The sequence below is a fragment of the Homo sapiens genome, chromosome 13 (genome assembly GCF_000001405.40).
Source record: "Homo sapiens chromosome 13, GRCh38.p14 Primary Assembly".
Taxonomy (NCBI): domain Eukaryota; kingdom Metazoa; phylum Chordata; class Mammalia; order Primates; family Hominidae; genus Homo; species Homo sapiens.
This window is the reverse complement of record NC_000013.11, coordinates 49,450,568-49,469,329: the sequence shown is the minus strand read 5'-3', so window position 1 is coordinate 49,469,329 and position 18,762 is coordinate 49,450,568. Positions and strand designations below refer to the sequence as shown.

The 18,762-nt window shown below is 36.2% G+C and overlaps 2 protein-coding genes across 12 annotated transcripts in view; both read right to left on the bottom strand.

The window, feature by feature from the left end:
- Window positions 1–18,762, bottom strand: part of SETDB2-PHF11 (SETDB2-PHF11 readthrough) — an 84,703-nt gene that overhangs the window by 59,647 nt on the left and 6,294 nt on the right. For both annotated transcript variants that reach the window (NR_135324.2, NM_001320727.2), the window contains exons 2-5: window positions 17,421–17,777; window positions 9,098–9,223; window positions 8,168–8,233; window positions 1,370–1,466 (exon numbers count right to left, since the gene is read on the bottom strand). Coding sequence is in view for 1 of the 2 variants with exons in the window: in NM_001320727.2 (NP_001307656.1) it covers window positions 1,370–1,466; window positions 8,168–8,233; window positions 9,098–9,223; window positions 17,421–17,436 (305 nt within the window). In the remaining variant the exon portion in view is untranslated. The remainder of the gene's footprint in view (window positions 1–1,369; window positions 1,467–8,167; window positions 8,234–9,097; window positions 9,224–17,420; window positions 17,778–18,762) is intronic.
- The window catches only part of SETDB2 (SET domain bifurcated histone lysine methyltransferase 2), a 50,730-nt gene that overhangs the window by 25,674 nt on the left and 6,294 nt on the right, over window positions 1–18,762 (bottom strand). For 4 of the 10 annotated variants that reach the window (NR_172062.1, NM_001160308.3, NM_001393976.1 and 1 more), the window contains exons 2-5: window positions 17,421–17,777; window positions 9,098–9,223; window positions 8,168–8,233; window positions 1,370–1,466 (exon numbers count right to left, since the gene is read on the bottom strand). Coding sequence is in view for 9 of the 10 variants with exons in the window: in NM_001160308.3 (NP_001153780.1) it covers window positions 1,370–1,466; window positions 8,168–8,233; window positions 9,098–9,223; window positions 17,421–17,436 (305 nt within the window). In the remaining variant the exon portion in view is untranslated. Of the gene's footprint in view, window positions 1–1,369; window positions 1,467–5,273; window positions 5,310–8,167; window positions 8,234–9,097; window positions 9,224–17,420; window positions 17,778–18,762 lie in introns of all 10 variants that reach the window. The other 6 variants (NM_001393975.1, NM_001393978.1, NM_001393980.1 and 3 more) reach the window with 3 other exon arrangements.

Here is an 18,762-nt window from a genome sequence, read left to right as displayed (position 1 = left end):
GGACAACAGTAGAAGTAAATTCACAGTTGCTTAAAGCGTTCTTTCTGAAGCGTAATAAAAAGAATGTCTAGTAGTGAGCCAGCCACAAGGTTTTTATCTTTGGTCATGTCCTGTTCAATATTGTTTTCAGTGACCATAATGAAGATTAGAAAGCTTATTTATTTGTACAAGATGATAAGCTAAAAGGGACAAAAAATATTCCAAAATTCAAAAAGATTCTGATAAGCTGGTATAATGAACTTAAAGCAAAAAATGATACTTCACAGGAATAAACCACTCCTGCATTTAAGTTTAAAATATAATATCTAAATATATAGATAACTGTTTGGTAGAGAGCTTGTTTGGTGGTAATTTACATGAAAATTTAATTTAGATTTAGACTGAGTGAATTTGTTCCTAAAAACTTACAAAATTTTACACTGTATATTCAAAGGTCAGAATTTCTAGAAAAAAAAATGTTTTGTGAGCCACTGAAATGGCCAATTAAGGAGCTAAAGTGTGAACTTAGCTTTCTCTGTGAGCATTTTAAAGTAATTTTATGGGCCTTTTGAGACCCACTCAAACTGCAATGACATCTCTAATATTTGTAAATCCAAATTATATGAAACAGTGTCTATCTACAACTCTCACAGGCATGAAAATCAAAAAAATAATTATATAGTTTTTCTTAGTCAATTTAATATTAAGCTGAAAGAACAAATGAAATTAGGGTAACAAAGAAGTTTCTTTCTAAAGATACTTCTTTGTTTTTTGAAACTATGTTCTCTACTCTAGAGAACTTTCAGAAACTTCCCTGTAATTAGTACTTGAAGGGTTAGGCCCAGGTATTACCTACTAAAAATAAAGACTACGTGTCAGAGTATCTAGATTCACTCTTCCGCACATCTCCTTTATGCCAAAGAATCTTTATGGAAAGTAATGATAAAATGAGAAAGGGAAGGTCAGAAAAATTTAGTCTATTCCCATAAACTTTTAGACACTACTTAAGAGCTGTTACGCATTTTGAAAACTCAACTGATACTGAAAGAAACATTTTGACACTTTTAAATTCTCCAGATAATCTAAGCAGTAAAACAAAAAACAAAACAAAACAAAAACACACTACTTGGTAGATTTCAGTGTATTAATAAAATACACAAAGACATCTTAAGCTAAACTTTATAAAAAGACTTGATTAACTAGGAATATTCAATAACCTATTCAGAGACTCATGAAATTCTATCTTACATAAAATACTAAAATATACAACTTTTAAAGCTTTAATGGGAAAAATTTTTTTGTATATTTCATCTATTCTAATGTCAAGTGATTTATAAAGAAGAAATCTGTAGGAGCAAAAGCATTAATAACAAAGAATTTATATACATACAGAAATGTACAGTCTTCTGGAAAGGAGTTTTCACATGATGTAGAGGGAAATGCATTGGATTTGTTTTCCTGTTCCTTCTGAGTCACAGGCATAGGATCTACACAAAAAAATAATGTGAGCAACAAATATACCAAGTTAAAAACCATTTGCTATAAGTACCCAAGTAATATGTTCATTGACTAGAGTCTGCCCATATGGATCCCTAAAATTTGCAAACATAGTAAGGTTTCAAGATTGAGGCAAAAGATTAAGTGTCAATATTTTCAAAAATATGAATAAACTAGGATAAAATACTGAGGACAGAAAAGATTTCTACTGTAGAAACTCTAGTTTGGCCTGAACTTGATTTGAAGCTTAACCAATCTTTAAGGTGGACATTGAGTATCCCTACTTCTGCATGCATTTTATAGAGAAATCACATAATTCTTAAAGGCTCTATAAAAGTCAGAAAATGAAAAATTTATGTACCTTTTGTTTTCCTATTGCTCTACAACTATTTTAGGGAGGGGATGAAGTATCTGGGTATCTCTTTTGATCTAGTTGTTCACATTTCTTTTTTTTTGAGACAGAGTCTCATTCACTCTGTCGCCCAGGGTGGAGTGCAGTGGTATGATCTTGGCTCACTGCAACCTCTACCTCCTAGGTTCAAACGATTCTCCTGCCGCAGCCTCTCCAGTAGTTGGGATTACAGGCATGCAAAACCATGCTGGGCTAATTTTTGTAGTTTTAGTAGAGACAGGATTTTATGTTGGCCAGGCTGATCTCGAACTCCTGACCTCAAGTGATCCGTGCACCTGGGCCTCCCAAAGGGCTGGGATTACAGGTATGAGCCACCATGCCTGGCCCAGTATATTTATTTTCTAATAAAAAAATTATAACTTACTTTCCCCCTCAAAAGAAGTTTAATAAAAGGATATTGTATTTCAAGGTTGCTCCTTGGCTAACTGAAAAACAAATATCTGTCTTTAATTTTCCAAGTAAAGAAAGGTTTAAAATCTGATAGCTGAGCCAAGCACAAGGTTCATCCCTGTAATCCCATCACTTTGGAAGGATAAAGTGGGAAGATTACTTGAGGCCAGGAGTTTAAGGCCCCCCTGAGCAACAGAACAAGGCCCTGTCTCTACGACAGAAAAAAAAAAAAAAAAAAAAGTTAGCCAGGCATGGTGGCGCATGCCTGTAGTTCTAGCTATTTAGGAACTGAGGTGGAAACACTGCTTAAGCCCAGGAACCGTAGGCTGTAGTGAGCTATACTTGCACCACTGCACTCCAGCCTGAGCGACAGAGGAAGACCCTCTCTCTAAAATAAATGAATAAATAAAAGTCTGATAGTTGAAGAGAGCTATGTAAAAAGAAAATAAAAATTTAGGACCTTCCAAATTTATTATGCCAAAGGGAAAAGTTAAGCCCTGAAAGAGGACTCATGTAACATGATTGTTTTTTCTTTGGTGCATGACCATTGCTTTCTGACTTCTGTGTTGAGATGTTACACATTAACTAGACTCCACATTTTTTTTTTTTTTTTAAAGACACAAGGTCTTGCTCTGTCACCCAGGCTGGAGTACGTTGATGTGATCATAAGCTCACTGTGACCTTGAACTCCTAGGCTCAAGCTACCCTTCCACTTCAGCCTCCAGAGTAGCTAGAACTACAGGTGTGCAACTCCACACCTGACTGATTTTTAAAATTCTTTTGTAGAGGTAGAATCTCTACCTCAAGCCTGGCTGGTCTTGAACTCCTGGACTCAAGTGATCCTGCCACCTCAGCCTTCCAAGGTTCTGGGATTATAGGCCTGAGACACCACGCCCAGTCAAGACTCCCTATTCTTTATTCAAACCTAGTCTAAATGATATGGAGAAAGAGACCCTTGTGACTGTTACCTGTTTACAACAGAATGTTGGACAACCCACTTAGAGTGTAATCAACAGTAGCCAATCAAATATCTGTATGTTACCCTTTGTACAAAAATGCTGTAATCCTGTTCAACACCTCTGTTTTGCCTATATAAATAATCCTCATTTCTCCCACACCAGAAGCACTTATCAGTATTCTTTGGTGTAGCACTGGTCCTCAGATGGCTACCCTTACACTTTGCACCTGAATAAACTCTCTTTAAATTAGATTCTGGATGGGGCGCAGTGGCTCACACCTGTAATCCTAGCACTTTGGGAGGCCAAGGCGGGTGGATCACCTGAGGTTAGGAGTTTGAGACCATCCTGGCCAACATAGTGAAACCCTGTCTCCACTAAAAACACAAAAATTAGCCAGGTGTGGTGGCAGGTGCCTATAATCCCAGCTACTCGAGAGGCTGAGGCAGGAGAATCGCTTGAACCCGGGAGGCGGAAGTTGTAGTGAGCAAAGATCGTGCCATTGTACTCCAGCCTGGGGGATAAGAGTGAGACTTCGTCTCAAAAAAAAAAAAAATTAGATTCTGACCCTTTTGATTATTTTTGGTTCACAGCTATAACTGATTAGAAATTAATTTTACAAATAATAAGAGTTTCTGACTTTTCCTCCAGCTAATTTATTTGCATGAGTTATATAAATCTATATTAACAAATATGAACAAAACAAATGTATATCAAGCATAGTTGGAAATAGGATTTACTCAAAAACATGAGGATTTAACATTAGTCATTAGAAAAAAGAGGAAAGGGAAATAATTTCTCTCAAGAAAACACTATCCAGTCCTTCATATGGAGACAGAGCAAATACTGAGAGTTACACAACATCAAGAAAAATAAACATAATTAGCGGTTTGATGACAGCCTGGGGAGTCTAGGTTGGATCCAGGACAGCTTGTTTTGACCTCAACACAAAGTTCTTTTGTTTCTCTCATTCCCAACCTTCTTTTTAAAATAAATGCTAGCGTGAAACTTTTTTTTTTTTTTAGACAGGGTCTCACTCTCTTGCCTAGGCTGGAAGGTTGGAGTACAGTAGTGTGATCCCAGCTCACTGCAGACTTGATTTCCTGGGCTCGAGCGATCCTCCCACTGCAGCCTCTTGAGTACCTGGAATCACAGGCACACACCACCACAGCCAACTAATTTTTTTTTTTATTATCTGTAGAGATGAGGTCTCACTGTGTTGCCCAGGTTGGTCTCAAACTCCTGGGCTCAGGTGATCCTCCCACCTCAGCCTCCTAAAGTGCTTGGATTACAGGCCTGAGCCACTGTATTCAGCCCACATGAACCTTTATTACCAAAGGTTTTCAATCCTTACATTTGCCAACAGTGTCAGTTACATAACTCTCCCCAACTGTTTACTTAAAAACACTTCACTGCTAGCAAATAAATATACTCTTATCTTGATGCATTTGTTACATTTCAGATGGACCAACTACATAAAAATATGAAATTATAATATTCGGCATTTCTATTGATAAAATTATTTCCTTAAAAGACCCCAAACAAAAACCAACTTACTTTTTACGGAAAAAAAGGTTCTTCAGAAAGAAAAGAAATGTTTAGAATTAGTTGTTACCATTTTTCTTGGTAACAAGTGAGGTTAAAAGCCTCTCTCTTGCAAAACTAAATATAATCCCTTAAGGATTGTCCAGATGAGATATAGTAACATAAAGATTATTTTGAATTGAAGACATCTGAGAATGAACAAATACAGGAAGAAGTTGTCTCTGGAGTTCCCTTATCTGTCTAAAAATCGATCCTCCCAAAAAGAAACTCAATTGTCATAAATCCCCTCCCAGAAGTTTCATCAACCAGGAATGATTTCATCTAATCAGGGAGAGCAGAGGAAGTCAGTACTATACTCAGACAGACACTGTTACAAATCTTTCACTTATTCTCATAGGACCCATTTATCTTTGAAGTCATGTGTTCTTCCAGAAGTGCCCCTCTGCTCCTCCCTTTCACCTATTAGGGTGGTATAATGTGCTCTCAAATCTCACCACTGCTTTGGGCATTCACTTCTTTCTGTGATGCTCCTGTGAGGCAGGGAATTAAAGAAAGAAAAATAAAATTAAAAAGAGAAATAAGCTTTCCTGTATTAGGATGACTTATCCCAGAGGCAGCAATAGGCACAGCCCAGACCCAGAAAAAGTCTTGTTAATACTATCTAAGAAGCCAGGACACAAAGGAATGTGCTCTGGGACTCTCCCAGCACTCCCTCAACATAGAGAGGAGAAAAACAAATTTTCCTTTCTCTTATGGTATGAGTGTATAGATTCCTGTTCTCTGTAACTAGTAACTTCAAGTATTCTGTTTTATCTAAGCAGTGGTGGAGTGAAGGTCATGAGCCATCTGAGCAGGCCTGAATTATGGCCACCTGGGCACCACAGTGAAGGTCATGGAATAAGCTGTGCTAGGCACTAGAGAAAAACCTAGATAACAGACATCTGGGCTGCATAGCAAACGTGTAATGCTGAGTTATGAACCTGTCACAATTTGATTAACTGTCTTTGTTCTGCCTCTGTACCCTTTCATGCCACTACGCTTCATGCCACTGTAAGCTTGTTTCAGGCTAGCCCACCCCCTTGTGTATAAAAGTCAAGTGCTGTCTTTGTTCTGGGCCAAGTTTTTGGATGTTAAGTCTGCTGGGTCTGAGTGCACTCAATAAAGATCCTCCTGTATTCACCCGAAGGTCTCTCTGGTCCTCCTAATTCCCGCAACACTTGTGCATATAAAATTAAAAGTTGACCAGGCGCGGTGGCTCACGCCTGTAATCCCAGCACTTTGGGAGGCCGAGGCAGGCAGTTTGCCTGAGCTCAGGAGTTCGTGACCAGTCTGGGCAACATGGTGAAACCCTCTCTCTACTAAAATACAAAAAAAAAAAATCACCGGGTGTGGCGGCATGCGCCCGTAGTCCCAGCTACTCGGGAGGCTGGGGCAGGAGAATTGCTTGAACCTGGGAGGGGGAGGTTGCAGTGAGCTGAGATACCACCACTGTACTCCAGCCTGGGAGAGAGAGCAAGATTTCGTCTCAAGAAAAAGAAAAAAAAATTAACACATTTGTTTATGTCTCTTCTCCTGTTAACCTGTCTTCTATCTTTTGTTACAGCCCTCATCCCCCAGCCACTGAGATAAAATTTTTCCTCCCCTACAATTCCGAGTGTTACTGAAGGATACTGTGAAAGGAAGACTGTTTTCTTCAAGAAACTACTCTTCTAAAGCTATACTGTAGCACTGAAATTGAGGATACTTTGAATACCAAATGGTTTACTTAAAATAGACTGGTGATGCTAGACTATATTTTCAGAGATTTAAAAGCCTTAAGGCTCCAAATTATAAAAGACAAAAATTATTGACATTTATTGACAACATCTAACAGCATTAATACAAACCTAGTAAATATTGTACTTCCTTAAAACTTCAGCAAATGTGACAGACTAAGATTTATGGAATGGTGATTGATCCTGTTAAAATAACTTCTCAGTTTTTCTTTTTAAAGTCTTAGTACATGTAACATCATAAGAAATACATATTTGGTTTCTGCCCTGGCTCCTGACCTAATTCCTAAAACCCTTCTAATTTCAAGTAACAGGTATGAGAGGAGCACCTTCTGTTATAATATTTGTCTTAATCCCCAGTTCCTGACATAAGAACTTCTGAGACCCTTGGAATCTCCAGTAGTGATAAGAGTGTCTTTTGTATGCTAATGAGATGACTGTTGAGAGGTGAGCTATCCCTAGACAGCTTCAGAATGGGGGCTGGTTGTCAGAAAGACCAAGGCACTTCTGACAAAGGCATGGTTAATGAGTTCGCACTTTCATCCCTACTCTTTCCACCCCCATATCCAGGGAAGAGAAAGAGGCAGATTAAGCAAATCACCAATGGGCTGATGACTGAATCATGCCTATGTAATGAGACCTCCACAAAACCCCTGAACAACAGGGTTCAGAGAGCTTTCAGACTGGTGAATGTATCTACATACTGGGAGGGTGGTACACCCCAAAACTCCACAGGGACAGAAGCTCCTGTTCTCAGGCCCTTCCCAACTTTGCCCTTTGTACCTCTTCATCTGGCTATTCATTTGTATCCTTTATAATATCCTTTATAATAAACTGGTAATAGTAAATACTTCTGTGAGTTCTATAAGCCATTATAGCAAATCATGGAATCTGAGGAGGGGGTTGTGGGAACCTCTAATTTGTAGCAGTCAGTCAGAAGTACAGGAGGCCCAGGCATTGTGACCAGTGTCTGAAGTGGGAGCAAGTTGGTGGGAATGAGCCCTTAATCTGTGGGATCTGTGCTAACTCTGGGTAGTAGTGTCAGAACTGAATTAAATTTTAGAATACAACATCCATTGGTGTCCACAGAATACTGGAGAATTGCATGGCATGGAAAACCCACATTTGGTGTCAGAAGCTTTGTGAGAAGAGAAACAGTTTTTCTTTAGTACATTATCTTTGATCCTTCTAAGCTGATTTAGAGCTTGGAAGACTGATGGTCTAAAAGCAATCTAGAAATAAAAGATTTACCCACCAACTTATCTATACAAGAATATATCTTTCAAGTATTGTTCTTCACAGAAAGCGGATATATAGTGTTTTAAAGTTAGAATTCTATTTGCCCTCTTTATATAAGAAAGTCTTTTTTTCCCCCAAAGACGACACACATTTGTTAATTCTTTCCCTAGGCTGCTTAGTTGGATGTGCATTTACTATCTCTAGATGGGTAGGACTTTTCATTTAACAGAGGAAACTGTGATTTATGTAACTTAGAAATGTGGATGTTAGATTTTATTTTAAATTATCTTTAATTAGCCCAACATATTAAAGCTATCCTGCTTCATGGCAAGAAAATATCAGAGAATACTCTACAATGGGAATAGAGATGTACATACCCTTTATTGATGTTGAACTGTTAATTATAGTTGCTTCATTCACTAGAATCATTGCTTGGATGTATTCTGTTAAAGACAGAAAAACAGCATCACCATTACCTTTATTTATGGTGCCAGCTACTGTGCTAAACAATTTACATATTTTATCTCATTTAATCTTCACTATTCCTCTGAGAGGTTAATAGGACTATCTGCATTAGAGACAAAAGAAACTGAGGCTCAGAGGTTAAGCTATTTATTCCAGGACATTCAGCTAAGAAGTAGTACAACTGGATTAGAATCTAGATTTATCTGACTCATGAAGGATTGACAAGGAAGATTAAAATGAAAAACAGTGCCAATTTTTTTTGATAAACACATAATAATAATGTCATAAGACCATCCAGAAAGTACTAAAAATAATCTGGAGAAAAATTTGCTTCAAAACCGTATGTCCTGATGGATTGAAGGAGGATTTCATCTTCAAGTCTTACGTTCTACAACCAACCAGGGTTGACAACAAACAAATAGAAAAAATAAAAACTTGGATTACTGAACTAACTGCCTATGTAGAACACAAATTTTGCTTTCAGAAGACTGGTAGAGTAAGTTCTGTTTAAAGCAGGCAAAATAAAGTTATATGTACTTTTACACATACATATGAAAAAACTAGTTGTCTCTGAATGTGGAATAATTTTTCCTTGTTATATTTTTCTATAAGTGCCAAATGTTATATAATGAGCAGATGTTACTTTTGCAACATTCCCCTAAAAAAAAAGATAAATGAGGGAAAAAAGTAGCTTGAGATAAAAAGAAATTCAGTAGGTATTATTCAAAAGTAATTACATCCATCTACTTTTACAAACAGCAATATTGGAAATAGAATGATACTGTACTGTCAGAGAGAAATATTTAGTATTAAACATATTCAAAGTTTTTATTGCTTCATACCTTTATTGGTGGCAGACCCATCTTTGATCTTTTGTTTCAGTGACTGCAGCACATTTTGTACTTGTTCAAAAATGAAGTCCACTTTTCCATCATCTTCTAGCTCCATCCAGAAAGTTTTTGCATCGCCTAAAATAAAAATAAGTGACTAGCCTAAGAGCTAATAGAAAAATACTATAATTTATCTAAGAACATGTTATAGAACAATCTACTTGGTTTCTAAACAAGATCAAGACTCATCTGGTCTATCATTTTCCTTGAGGAAAATATTTTAGTAATGTTTCCTTACAAAGAGCTAGAAACAATATGATCTAAGTATCTTACCCATTTCTGTTAATTTTTAAAATATATATTGAAAATTTTAGTGACACTTTCTTGACTAGAAAACAGAAGGAAGACTTCACTGGAGAGTGGTTGTGGGGTATATGTATAGATTATACATGCACTTTAAAAAGTCTCAGTGGTATAATCTCCACCGAGTGTGGTTTCAGAATGAGACAACTCAATGGCTGCTGAAATAACTAAATGTCCAACAATACTGCTTTTTAAAAAAGTCTTCTATATGTTTAATTGCATGAAGCAAATTAATGTTTAAAGTTGTACAGAGAAAGTTACATAAATGAGCCAACATTTCTGATGCCCAGTAAGCTAATACTTCAAAATTTTCCTAAAGAAACAATCCTTTCAAAATTGAAAATATAAGAAAAACAATTATAAGTTGTCAAAAGCTAAATCTCACTTCGCGTTTAAAAGTAACAAAAATACCTAAAATGCTAAGCATATTTATACAATGTTACAATGTATAAAATTATTTAAAATTAACTAATAGGGCCTATAAGCAAAGGAAAGACATCGTAATAATTGCATTTTAGAAAGGTCACTGGAGTAGGCACAGGGAGGATTAATGAGTAGACAGTCCAGATGGCTTACAAAAAATACATTTTCCCTAACACAAATTAAACCCAGAACCTCCAAGTTTGGCAAAGAAGGGAGAATCTGCATAAGGGGCTTAGGTATCAAAGTCTCAATTCCTGCTGGGAAAGTCACCTTTCCCAAAGGGGACTTCTGGCTAGTTAGTGCTGCTGCCAACATAGTGGCCTCTGGAGGGGTGTTGTTTTACTACTAATACTCTGGACTGATGTATACTATGTAAGACTAAGCTTACTTTTAATTCCCCATAGCACAGCTCAAACAAAATTTCAAGATTTTAAACAAGAGCAATGTAAGAGGACAAAATGGATGAGAACTGGTGCTTAAAAGGCAGGTAGGGCATGACATCGAAGGCCCTATGTGCCATGCTAAGCACCTTTTATATGGAAAGCTACCCAAGAGGTATAAGGATCTTATGATGTGATTAGTTATGTTTTCCAGAAAGATCACTCAGGTAGCAGTGGGAGGAGTCATGAATGATCTCCACTTTTTTGCCTCAGGCAATCATATGGACAATAATGCTATTCATTAAGGTATGAATAAAGGTAGAGGGACAGGTGGCAAATTCAAGTAGTAAGAGGCTCTCCGAACAAACTGGATGCATAGGCTCTAGAGTAAGATCTGGTTCAGAAATACAAATTGGAGTCATTAACGTACAAATACTTGCTGATGCCATAGAGTAGATGTAATTCCATAGGGAGAACATACAGAATAAGAAGGGTCTTATGTAGAACATCAACAATACAAGGAAAAGGAACTATAGAGACTGAGGTGGAAGAGAAACCCAGGAGAGTAGTATCTCAGAAGCCAAGGAAAGAAAAAGAGTGGTGATTAACAACCTAGGCTTTGGAGTTCAAGTGTAGTTGGGTTTGAATACTAGTTCTGACCCATTTATTAACTGTGTGACCACATCTATAAAATGGAAATAACAAACTGGGCACAGTATCTCAGGCCTGTAATCCCAGCACTTTAGGAGACCGAGACAGGAGAATCACTTGAGGCCAAGTTCAAGACCAGCCTGGGTAACATAGCAAGACCTCCTCTCTACAAAAAAATCAGCCAGGCGAGGTGGTACATGCCTGTAGTCCGAGCTACTCAGGAGGCTGAGGCGAGAGGATTGCTTGAGCCCAGGAGTTCGAGGCTGCAGTGAACAAAAGGAATTCATCTTTCACTGTGGAATTTTAGAGAACAATCAGCTTAATGAGGAAAATATTTTGTGAAGCAGGGCTTTCTCAGGGTGCCTGAAATCATTAGGTTTTTCACTGATAATCAACAAAAACCACTTTTAGGCAAAATTATTTTTCAAAGCACTTCATAGATTATTGTTAAGTTTCCCTTCACAGATATGAGTCAATACCTCTTACTAGGGATTTATCTTTATTAGAGGTGGACATTGAGATGTATTTTGAAGTATTTTCAAGTATTTTGGAAGTATTTAAAAATAGCTTTTGGTAACATTAAAGTATTCTGGAATCACATAAAATTTTGTCCTGGACTGAGGAAAAAAAAGCTGTGATGCTGAAAGACAACAATCAAGACTCAATGAATTTTTGTTTTTTTTATCATTTAAAATTGTTTTAGAGGCTAGGTGTGGTGCCACCACACCTCATGGGAGGCTGAGGCAGGCAGATCACTTGAGGCCAGGAGTTTGAGACATGCCTGGCCAACACGGTGAAACCCCATCTCTACCAAAAACACAAAAAAGTTAGCTGGGCGTGGTGGCACACGCATGTGGTCCCAGCTACTCGGGAGGCTGAGGCATGAGAATTGCTTGAACCTAGGAGGCGGAGGTTACAGTGGGTTGAGATTGCGCCACTGCACTCCAGCCTGGGTAACAGAGCAAGACTCTTTCAAAAAAAAAAAAAAAAAAGTCTTAGAAATGCCAATACATGCTACTAAATTATTTGGTAGGAAATACTTAAAATGAGTTATTAAAAAAAAAAAGTCTTAGAAATGCCAACACATGCTACTAAATTATTCTGGTAGGAAATACTTAAAATGAGTCATTTAAAAAGTAAACAGAGTAAATGCTCAATCTTGGAACCGATTAATAAAACACAGAGCGAGACTCTTTCAAAAAAAAAAAAAAAGTCTTAGAAATGCCAATACATGCTACTAAATTATTCTGGTAGGAACTACTTAAAATGAGTTATTTAAAAAGTAAACAGAGTAAATGATCAATCTTGGAAATGATTTTGAAAAAAAAAAGGACACTGGTAATATAATTTAAAAACACAAAGCCAATCAAAGAAAATACTGAATCTGCTTCTACAATAAATGAATGTAACTAAGCAATTCATATTTATTTGTTCTGGGTTTTAAATAAATATGTTGTTCCTTATGACTTCCTTATTATCTCATATTGCTAGGTTTAATTTTCATTAAAATGGCACTTGTTCCTCATGTCTTCCTTCTTGATCATTTTTCTTTGTCTTCTTGCTATGGAAGCCCTTAACCACAGTAATAAGAAAAGAGGTAACCAAACTTTCTGATAAATGAAACTAATAGATCCAGTTAACAACTTCTGTGCACAAGGAGACTAAATGAGTATCACAAGAAACATCTGGGAGACTTTGGTTTCGACTGTAGACATAGTTACTACAATACAAACAATTTTAGTTTCTTGCTCCTGATCTTCACTTCTTTCGGCATTGTATGCATGCTCAGCATTATAACCTAAAACTAAATATTTCGGTATATTTTACTAGAAGATATTTACAAGGAATACTGGAGCAGGTACCTGAATTGAAGATCAATTCAGCATACTAATATTGCTGCTATTTGCCCCCAGAAATGAAGAATACCATCTGGTAACTTTATTATCTGTTCAAACTCTCTTTTTTATTTAGCCAGTTATGACTATTCATTGCAAGACTATAACCATGAGGCAAGAAGTGTAGCAGCCTTGTAATGAAGGACGCCAAGTACATGGTATAGTTATACTATGTCTACCAATCTCACTCTAGACAGTCTTTGTAAACAGACAATGCTCATGAATAATACTGATCTGAATTCATTTGCTAGCCAAGTATTTATGAAATACTTACCAAATACATTAATAATGACCTCAGTACACAGAAACATATGTAGTAAGGGGCTTATAGGGTATTGGTCTAGAGGAACTCTAAGGTATCTTTGAACCTGTAATTAGCAAAATGTGGTCTGTGGACCCCTAGGACTCCCCAAATCATTTCAGAGAATACACAAGGACAAACTATTTAAAAAATAATATTAGGACATTTGCTGTTTTTATTATATTGACAACTGATAGTACAAAGGCACTGGTGAGTAAAACTGCTAGTGACTTAGCATGAATCAAGTTAGTGGCATCAAACTATCAGTAAGTGATAGTTCACTTACTATTGTGATCTTCACCACCAATTTCATCTAAGTACACCTTTAATGAAACAACATAAGTTATTACAATCATTTGTACAGCCATTATAGTACAATGGCTGTCTCAAGAAAAAATACTAGTGGGATTGTTCAACTTGTAAACTAAACTATCTAGTTTTTTTTTGTTTTTTTTTAAATGAAAACCATTTTTACTTAAAAGAACCACTGATAAAACTGTAGTTTTCCAGACTTGAGTGTTTGGCATATGAGCAAAGTGAGCCTATCACTTGAAGGACAAAACTAACAATATTTCTTGCTAATGACAAAATTCAAGCTACAGAATGAAAATGAGAATTTTGAAAACCTTGTATCTGCCATGGCAAACCTGAAAGTTTCTGAAGAGTTAACCACTTTTAAAATGAGATCAGTAGCTATATTAACAAATGTGATTTTAAAATTATATGATTAAATGTGTCAACATTTGGAAGATCTGCATAATTCACTGAGCCAATATTTTACAAGTGGTCAATACATGTAAAATCATACATGGTAAAAGATCTACTCAAAGTGCAAGATAGACCAATGGATTTTAATGTAACATTGTAAAAATACTCAATGATATGTCAGACTCCACACTCCAACTAACCTTTAAGGAATGACTACCTGTTGAGTTTTGGAGTCAACAAAGAAAAATATCCACAATTAGATGAAAGGCTATTGAAATACTCTTCCTTCTTCAGCTTCCTGTCTGTGTGAAGCTTGTCTTTTATTCAGTTCAACCAAAGTAATATAACACAGAAGACTGAATGTAGAAGCAGATATAAGAATCTAATAAGCCAGTTATTAAAGATATTTCTAACAAGGTAAGACAATGTTATCCTTCTCACTAATATTTTTGCTTTAGAAAATAGTTTCTATTTATATTTTCAACATGTTGGATTTATTATTTTCTTAAAAATAAGCCAATTAATATTTTTTGAAACTTCTTAGTTTCAATTTCTATTACAGTAAGTATCAACAGATGTTACCCACATAAACAAAAGCTCTTTGCGGTTTTAAATACTCTAAAGAGTATAAAGTCATCCTGAGACCAAAAAAAAAATTGAGAACCACTGGCTTAGATCACAGCCTGGTGAAATCAGTACTATGATCTGTATAACAATCCATACATTACAACTATGTTAAAGGCACCGAAACTATTGTGTATGATACTATAATTATAGATGCATGACATTATGCAGTTGTAAAAACCCACAGAATTTAAAGAGTAAACAATGAACTAATAACGTATGCAAATTTTAAAAATCATTTAGGACGTCAGGGATCTCAGTAAGGAATGCAGACTATGAAGAGAATCTAACTGTATTACAAATGTATAAACAACTTCACCAAGGGCTGGGTGGAAAAGGTACTGACCTAAGTAACTTTGGAAATGAGTGGAGTCTGTAAAAATAAAGGCAAAAGTAACTGCATATACTTACTTACTTACTGTACTCTAGTTGATAAAGTATTTTCCTACCTGGGGATGGGTTAAAATTCTATTTTTATTTATTTATTTATTTTGAGATAGTCTTGCTTTGTCACCCAGGCTGCAATACAGTGGCACAATCTCAGCTCACTGCAACATCTGCCTCCTGGGTTCAAGCAATTATCATGCCCCAGCCTCTGGAATAGCTGGGATTACATATAGGCGTGTGCCACTTTGTATTACTATTATTATTTTTTTTTAAGTAGAGACAGGATTTTGCCATGTTTACCAGGCTGGTCTAACTCCTGGCCTCGGCCTTTCAAAGTGCTGGGATTATAGGTATAAGCCACGGTGCCCAGTCAAGGGTTAACAATTCTGATACTGCTACATATATATACTGGAATTGAACAATTAAGTAAATGGATGGTGGGTGATGGGAACTAAGTTTTTTACTACTGGAGTGGGAGCATACAGATAAGGTGAGGAGACTAAAATGATCCACGTGGTAATAGATTAGAGTTGGAAACATCAGCGTAATTTCATGGTTAGCTTAAGGCAGATACAAACAGTTACATATAGAAATATTTATAGCCATGAGTTGTGTATATATAAGTTAGTATATATATATATACTTCATTGCTCTGCCAGCTGAAAGGGCCTATAAACAAGGACACTCCAGTAACAACAAATACACCTATCATTCAGACCTTGGTTTCTAATACCATTTTCCAATAAAAATATTGACAGGTTATTCAAGAAATGGCTCACTCTAAGATGCGTAAGAAATATACGAGAGCAATCTAGAGCAATCTTCGAGTGCCAAAAGGGAAGTGCTATAAAACAAAGACAAATAAAAAATACCTACACTGATGACGGTATATCAAAGGGACACAAGAGCCAACTGAGCAGGACATGGTGGTTCATGCCTGTAATCCCAGCGCTTTGGGAGGCTAAGGCGGGTGGATCACTTGAGGTCAGGAGTTCGAGACCAGCCTGGCCAATATGGTGAAACCCCCATCTCTACTAAAAATACAAAAATTAGCTGGGCGTGGCGGCACACACCTGTAATCCTAGCTACTCAGGAGGCTGAGGCAAGAGAATTGCTTGAACCCAGGAGGCAGAGGTTGCAGTGAGCCAAGATTGCGCTGCTGCACATGAACCTGGGCAACAGAGTGAGACGCCATCTTAAAAAAAAAAAGAAAAAAAAGAGCCAACTGAAAGAGCTCCCAATAGCCAAACCCGGGACAATTTGAAAAACAAAATAAATAAAGTAGTACTGGCTTGTAACTCAAAAAGTATAAAATAAATAGCCATGAGTCCATGCTGATATAAATGATTAACTGAATAAATAAACAGGGAAGAAGAGAGAGAGATAAATCTCCCCTGCAGAAATATTCCAAATATAATTAACGTAGATATTCCACATTTAAGGAGGGGGAGCATAAATCCCCACTCCTTAACTGTGGGCTACCTATAGTGATTTATTTCCGAAGAGTATAGCAGGGAATGGGAGAAAAAGAGTAACTTTACAGTGGAGAAATTTGATACCACCACCTACATTAGCCAGCTCAAGCTCTGTTGATCAAGTTCAATATCAACTCTGAGAAATCATGCTGACAGCATGTACCCTTGATATGATGTGATGAAAATGACATTTTACCTCTGAGATCACACTCCCCAAAACCCATCGCTCCAGTCAAATTATGGAAAAACATCAGACAATAATTCCAACAGAGGGGCATCTTACAAAATATTTGGATACAAAATCCCAAAAAAATAAAAAACAAGAAAAGTCTCAGAAACTATCACAGCTAGGAGGAGCCTAAGCAGACATGACAAGTAAATGGAATGTGGTGTCCTGGATGGGATCTTGGAATGGAAAAAGACATCAGGTAAAAACTAACGTGAATATACTATGGACTTCAGTTAATAATAATGTGCCAATATTGGTTCATTAATTGTAACAAATGTAGCATCCAAATGTAAAATGTTAATCATAGATAAAGCTAAGTACCAGGTTTACTGGAACTCTGCAATCCTCTCAATTTTTCTGTAACACTAAAAGTATTTTGGCCAGGTGCAGTGGCTCACCTATTTTGGCCAGGTGCAAGTGCTGTAATCCTAGCACTTTGGGAGGCCAAGGTGGACAGATCATGAGGTCAGGAGTTTGAGACCAGCCTGACCAACATGGTGAAACCCCATCTCTACTAAAAATACAAAAAATTAGCTGGGCATGGTGGCACATGCCTGTAATCCCAGCTACTCAGGAGGCTGTGGCAGGAGAATCGCTTGATCCCAGGAGGCAGAGGTTGCAGTGAGCCAAGATTGTGCTACTGCACTACAGCCTGGGCGACAGAGACTCCATCACCAAAAAAAAAGAAAAAAAAAAAAGTTTACAAAAAAGTCAATTTTTTCACAACTAATGATAAAGACAGTCAAAATTGGTGGCTATACAAGAATAAACCCTTAATTCCCTCTAATTCAGAAAAGTTCCTCGCAATGCAAAACCTTGACAATTCCACATCAGCTTACATTGTCTATATACTTTTATACTTTTAGATATAAAGTGTAACAGTGTGTTCTTCAACCTACCATTTTTTTCTCCCATCTTTTGATGTCGCTTATAAATATAAAATGCTTCAAAATTAGGTTTATCAAATCACTTTGATTGCAGAATATCACTGGAATCCAACTGTGGTCTCTATAAAATTTGCAGTCCTCAGACAAAATACATCATTATACCATTCTAAACCTGGTATCCTTTGATACTTGAATTTTCAAATAGAAATTGTGGCTGAAGAAACTTTCAGAAATGAGTGACAGTCCAACCAAAAGACAAGTCCATGAATCTTCTCACGTAAATATTTGTAGTGGTATCAGATCATTAACATTATCTTTTTAAAAATAAAAACCAACTCCATCTTTTGGTCCACAAATGGATGAAACATTCTGTAAGGAAAACAATAAAGAATAGTGCATATTTGTAAAGGACCACATATATATATATATATATATATATATATGTATATATAAGGAAATAAGATATTGTTATAACAGCTTGATCTTTTAAAACAGCATGAACCATTACAAAAAAACATTATGTTATCTGGAAAAAATATGTAAAGTATCAAAATTAGAAATAATAGAGAAGGCCCACCCAATCCTATCACCCATATTTAATATATTTGTATTTATATTACTATCTCCATTTTATAAGTCTTTTATAAACCTTTTAAAAAGGGGATAATACTAACTATCTCACAGGTTGTTCTGAGGACAAGACTTAATTACATATAATGTGCCTGACATACGAAAGATTCAAGGAATACTACCAATTATTGTTATTCTTTCAGAATGTAGTTTTAAAACAAAAATTTGGATTGTAGTATATTTAATTTTTTATAATCTTTCATTAAAAACATTTCCTGCATTTTCCTCCATCACTAATATTTTTGTATAATACAACTGGCTGTATAACATACTTTGGTCAATAACGCATACATTATAGTACATTAAATATTTTAATAATTAAATTTTAATAAAAATATTAATTAATAATATAAACCTCTATATTCGATATTTAGATTGTTTTCCTTTATAGATTAATTTTTAGTATAATAAATAATGCTAAAATAAATATACTTTATACATATCTCTGGCAATTTCCCTAGGATAACATATCTGGAGGTAGAATAATAGGTCAAAAATAGATCAACAATTTTAATTCTCAAGATGTTAGTCAAGATACTGTAAATTCTTCTGCCACTTCCACACCAAACCATGGAAATGTTAGGAGATTTAAAATATATATATATAGCCATGCTGAAAACAAAAAGGGAACTCTCTAAGGGCCAAGTCAGTAAGGCCCTTCTGGGGAAAGGAAACAGATGGGAAGCTATAGAGATGATGGCAACCACAATCACAACAGCAAAAC